This window comes from Homo sapiens, chromosome 12, assembly GCF_000001405.40.
Source record: "Homo sapiens chromosome 12, GRCh38.p14 Primary Assembly".
In the NCBI taxonomy this organism is placed as follows: domain Eukaryota; kingdom Metazoa; phylum Chordata; class Mammalia; order Primates; family Hominidae; genus Homo; species Homo sapiens.
In genome coordinates, this window is record NC_000012.12 from 85,562,368 (window position 1) to 85,568,648 (window position 6,281).

Genomic DNA, 6,281 nt, shown 5'->3' on the forward strand with positions numbered 1-6,281 from the left:
CAATAGACTGCTTATAAATGGAATCCCTGTAAATCTACCTAAAGGTGATCAGTTTATGAAATGTTAGTGTAACCTTGGGTACTTTCATACATTGTCCATAAATTCACCCAAGTTAGCTAGTATACTTAATAGATTTTCCCAACCCAAATCATGACTGGTAATAATTATTTTGACCATTTTAAAACACACTTAATTCAAGGTCTATAATTAACAAAATAAGCATAGTAAGTACAATTGATATAACAATGATGAAGTATCTATAAGGGTTATATTTTGGGGGGGTTGGCAGGGTAAATCAGCTTAGATCAAGATTTTTCTACAGACACACAAAAATTGTGTAAACATAGTTCAAAGAAAAATGACTATCCCTTTTTTCATTAAAATTCAAACAATGTGTTAGATGCTAAATACTACATTAATGTATAAATTATGCAGCATACACTCATCTCCCCTGTCTTTCCACTAACATAGCTTACAATGCAGTAATAGTCATCATTTATCAGAAACATGATGCATGTAAATGCTTCCCATCCTCTTCTCTCTGTAGATAATTTAGATAGATTCCTGTCATTAGGTAATCGGAAGCTTTCTTGTTACATACATTTCATAAAGTGAATGACATGACTAAGCAGAGAAATGCACACCTCAATCTGGACTAATGTATAAGGGAGCTATTGGAACTAAAAATCGAATGTGTGATTCCTTTTCCATCAAGAAATAAATAGCAACTTGACAAACTGTAGGAATCATAAATTCTGTCTATATCAGGGTTTCTCAATTTTGACATTATTAATATTTTGAACTGGATAAGTATTTGTTGCAGTTTTCCCACAACAAATCCTATGCATATCCTATGCACTGTAGGATCTTTGACAACATCCCTGGACTCCATTCACTAGATGCTAGTGACACATTCTCAGCTGTGATGATCAAAAATGTCTCCAGACATTGTTAAATATCCCTTGGCAGGCAAAATTATCCCTGCTGAGTACCTCTTTTTAATATAAACTGTCCTAAATCACACTAGTGCCCATAATGTATTTACTTACATAGTTTTGCTTCACTTATTAGTTGACATCATTATCTAATCAGAAAAGAAGGATGCATCGAATATGTGTCATCTTTTGTAGCTAAATAGGATGAAATTGTTTAGTAAATATGAGATATAACAAACATAGCAGAATAATTTAAGATCCAGGAAATTCAGCCATATGAAATTTGGCATTATATTTGATTAATCATAATTACTGTCTATATTTTTTTCTGTATAAAAGTTAACGTTCAAGTGGGTAACATTAGAGGATATATGTACGATAAGGAACAATAAAAATATAAAGGGAACAAGTGTTTAATATAATTGCTGTGCAAAAGAAAAGGGGAAATGGAAGTTGGCGAAAACAATTCTCAAATGCTCTTCTTCCAAGAAACAATTTTATCAGAGCTCACTCCTGAGAAAATGTAAGTAATATATCGTGGAGTAGACTATTCTTTATAACACAGATAGATTATTACACTCTGGATCAGACAGGAAAATTATGCAATCTTGTTGAGCAGTTAGAAGCCTTGGAGTAAATGACAGTAAAGTTTTACTAAAATAAGATAAATTAGCTAACATAAGAGACAATTTTAATTCATTAATGCCAAAAACTCTCTGCAAAACGTATTTATCACTAAAATAAGCTTTCAGATTCTGCATGAATTGTTTTTTGAGATGAAAGAGAAAGAGTAGTAGGAATAAGGTAATCTTCTTCTTTTTTTTAGCAGACTGGAAGTAAAGCTGATCTCACAGATTTAAATTCTCAAATGAAAATCTAACCATTTCAATAAACTAAAATGCAGTGGATATAGGAGATAATTGTTTTTAATTACTTATTAAAGTCACATTAATTTCAAACATGCTTTTATCCATGCCCATAAGTTTCTCATGATGGTTTTGGAGCACTAAACAGAATTTTTACCTGAGGCTGATTTAATTTTCATTATTAAAGGCCAATTGCAGAAGCAGTTTTGTAGCCTGCAGTGTATTGCAGTTTTAGAATTGGAGACTGAAATTCTTGATCAAGTAATGAGAAGCCTGAAACACTGATTACTTCACTTGTGGTTTCATAAAATATTCTATTATTTTTATTTTTACATTATTGTATTTCTTTATTTAAAATATTGAGCATGAATATATGAAGAATCAAGTTAGAATTATTAAGTAGCAGCTTACCTTATTATTATATACTCAAATTATAATTACAACATTTAGAACATTTTTATATGCAACCTTATTTAATTCTCACAAGCTACCTTGCAAAACTAGCAGGAGACAAGTAGTTGCAATTCAGCAGATTCAAAACGTTAGGCTCAACTATATTTAGTGATCACTTAGAGTTAGTAATTAGAGGAGTTTGGGTCTACCATTTAAGGCAAATAAGCAACATCTTCAAAGTATACTGAAAAAAGCATAGGAAAAGTTATACAAATGTTAGTGGAACTTTACTTTGACCTCAACAAGCTTTATAAAGCCTGTTTCAGAAAAGATTCACCTATTCTATAAACCTGCCATGTTTAATCCTCTCTCTACGCTTTCCATCACGCTTTTGCTTTCAGATAAAATATCTTCCCCTTCCGCTATGACTGCACGCTCTCTGTTTGTGTATTACACTTCCAGACACATGTAGATTGCAAGATCTTCATGAATATTTTTTGAGTAATAGCTTTTTGTTCACTTCCTGCAGCTTTTAGAGTCATCACATTTGTTTTGCATCTAATTACATTACTGTTATTTGCTGTCACTTTAAGTGTGTTTTCCTCACCTCTTGAATTGCATTGTAATTTGTTTGAGAAAGGAATATGTTCATAGTTCTTCTATTTCCCAAAGAGTGAGTTGATGTTAATGTATATATTTTTAAATTATTAATATTATACTGGTTTTAAGTTTTACCTTACTGATATTTTGATGAGGTACCTTTTTCACCATATATTTATTGACATAAACTATCTTAAACCCGTTGGATTTGCCAACCCTTTAATCAACTCCTGTTAACCTCTCATTTTGTTGGCAGGTTTTATAGGCATATACACACAGAGACATAGGCACACTCACACATACACTTGCACATATACAGAAGTATCATGCCCCAAGCCTATGTTCTCAATAATTTGTTTTCTGCTGGTTGGCTGCCATGCCTTACTCTTAATTAATAGGTGGCTTTTCAACAGAAATATTATGCCTTGGGCATATTCATAAACAATGTGTCTTCTTATGAAGATTTAAAGGTTATAGTAATGAAAAGAATCTTGAATGTTAGAGAAGGCAGGGGCAGAAATTATTTTTTGTCAGGCAAATTCTTTGCTTACCACCAAGTTATACTACATTACTGTTTTAATTTATGCTTAGAATAAGCTTTCTAGGTTAAACTAGAAAACGAGTATATATATGTTTAAAGTCCAACTAAAATGAAAGTTTGGCACAATAATAATCATATGCTTGATCTACTTGTTTTTGAAGAAAATATACAATTATTTTTCCAACTTTTGAAACACAAGATTATACATGCTTATGAAGAATGCCCAAGTTCATTTCTAACTAGCTAGATGATGATATATTATATGAGACTTGGGGTTTAATTCAGAGGATTGCCTGTCATTTTTCCAGAAATGATTATCATTGTTATCACTAATGAATTATATATTCTTATTTATTGATTTATCTCAGGGAATATAGTATTTATAAGCAGAAACAAATGAAAAGTAAACTTAGTTCTACTTCATATTATAAATAGCTTTCATAATAAAATAATATGCACAAAATATTTAAAGGATTATAAATACATAAAGGATTCATTGTTTTAAAAAATTCTATTTTCTGTTGATTTTTAACATATATATTGCTTATTAAACATGGGTTGTTCTATTAATGGAAAATATGCATTTAAAAGTTTGTGTAAATTACTTTTTTGGATTGCTACTGTAATATATGTTCATGGTGGGGCAAAAAAGTGAAACTTAAATTTGAACACGAAGAGTGAATGCTACTTAATTGAGTCAGTGTCAAAGAAAAGTGTTGCAAACAGAGGGAACAACATGGGTGGAGACAGGAGGTGAGAGAGCATGAGGCTCCTGGGAGACTTTAAGAAATTCAATGCTGCTGGATGGTTGGAGAGGAAGTGGGAAGTGATACCAGGTGGCGATGATGAGACAGGTAGAAATAATTATTCTTGATTTCCTCAGTAACGTTATACCAGAGTTTACCATAATTTTGCATCATTATGGAAAATACATGGGAATAAGGCAGTTTTTGAGGCAGAATGACAAAATAAGCATCCACAGCAGCAAAATATAATAAAGAAAAATGTGTTGGTTTTTTGTTTGTTTGTTTTATATGTGGCCTAAGGGAACATGAAGAATCAGTGATGAAGCCCAGGCTTAGTTTTGTTTTATTTTGTTTTGTTTAGTTTTGTGGGGGCAGTTGTGTAGACTGCCCTGCCATGACATTTATTATGATAGAAGAGGAAAAAAATCTATTAACGGTGTTTCAGGGACAAAGAACTGGTTTGGGAGATTTTTGGTATAAATTATCTCTAAGAAAACAAATTAGCAATGTATAAAAGGCAATAGCTACCATTTTCCAATGAAATGAACCAGGGGTCCTTGGAGAAATGGCAGATTCTGGTACTAAGGCAATAAAATAAAATAAAAGAGCATCATACATATAGTGCCAGAAAGTAAGAAAAAACTCAAAACAAACAAACAAAAGAGAATGAGGTTATGTCAAAGTGACACAGGAACCAATTTAAAAGAGCTCTCAATGGCCAAAACTAGAATAACTTTAAAAATAAAATAAGCAAGGTAGTATTGAATTATAACTCAAAATATAAAATAAATATACAGAAATACATATTTATATGGCCAAATTATTGATTAAATGAATAAATGAAGGATAAGGTCAAGTCTTCCTCACAGAAGGGTCCCAAATGATATTTATAAGTACTCCCTTAATTAGAGCCCAGAAATAGGTCCATATAAATAGTCAATTGATCACTGACATTGGAACAAAGACAATACAACAAAAAAAGATAAATCTTTTTAACAAAAGGTTCTGGAACAACTGGACTTCCACATAAAAAAAAAAAAAGAATCTAGATACAGACTTTACACTCTTTCCAAAATTAACTCAATATAGATCATAGACCTAAATGCAAAATGCAAATTTATAAAACTCCTAGAAGAGTTTTGAGGTAGAAGTGGCATCTTATCCCTGCCTGGCAATGGGAAGGCAACATTCCTTAAGCTCCAAGATGACTAGATCACCTTTGGAATATTGAAATTTTTATTAAGGGTGAAAGAAATCACATTTAGGCCCTATTTGACTTTAATCTAAAGTTAAATATATACACATAAGATTACTGGTGTCAAGATGTTAATTTCAAAACACTGTACAGTATTTTAATTACATGATGGAGCAGTTTCTTCCAGCATTGAAAGATTAAATGAGGGGTTGTGCACCCGAGTTGGTTGGTGCCATGCTGTCACATGATGCAGAGCAAGTTCTGTGGTACCTGTTCGAGGTGGAGGAGCTTGTTGAGGAGGTGCTGGTGGACAAACAGCAGATTGTGGATGTGGACACCGAAAGGAATAAAAACCCAGAGGGCCTGAGAGCCCTGCAGAATGGTCTCAGCCTCTCTGAAGATGTGGTTTGCCTCAGGAACATGTTTGTCAAGATGCCTCACCCTCAGGTGAAGGAAATGATTAAGAAAAATCAGGATCATCTGGATAAATAGAAATAATCCAAAAACAATGGGCCCAAGGCAAACCAGAGCCAAAGAGTTTTAACTTGAACCCCTTCAGTCAGGATGAACATAAAGCTCTCAAGTTCTTGAAAGGATGAGACACAAGAATAAGATGGGGTACCAGTGACCAGCTCCTCTACCTGGGGTCATGGAGGACCGAAGACCCTCCAACCTTGATGCCTGTAAGGACAGGCGCTCCTGTAAGGGATCAGGTGTAAAGAATCTGGCCATAGCTCCTGTACAAAGCCTCTTTGTCTGAAGTACTTGGGTGCTCTTTGACGGCAGGAGGGAACACAACCTGTCGGTGGCTGCTGGACCTCACCACGGGGGCTCAGTGGACATAAGATCTATTGACAGGCCCTGGCAGTCACCAGTGGGTGTGTGTGGCAGTGGCTGTGGGGTGTGAGAATGACTGCAACAGGCACTTCTCAACAATGACCTGCTGTTCACATGGGCCCTGAGCAGGGAGGAAGGGAGAGGGACAATGGAAGCTTTGTTCCAGCA

General features: G+C 34.0%; 1 pseudogene; it reads left to right on the plus strand.

The window, feature by feature from the left end:
* The first annotated feature begins 5,510 nt into the window (after nucleotides 1-5,510).
* On the plus strand, nucleotides 5,511-5,875 carry LOC101059974 (p53 and DNA damage-regulated protein 1-like; annotated as a pseudogene).
* The last annotated feature ends 406 nt before the right edge of the window (nucleotides 5,876-6,281 follow it).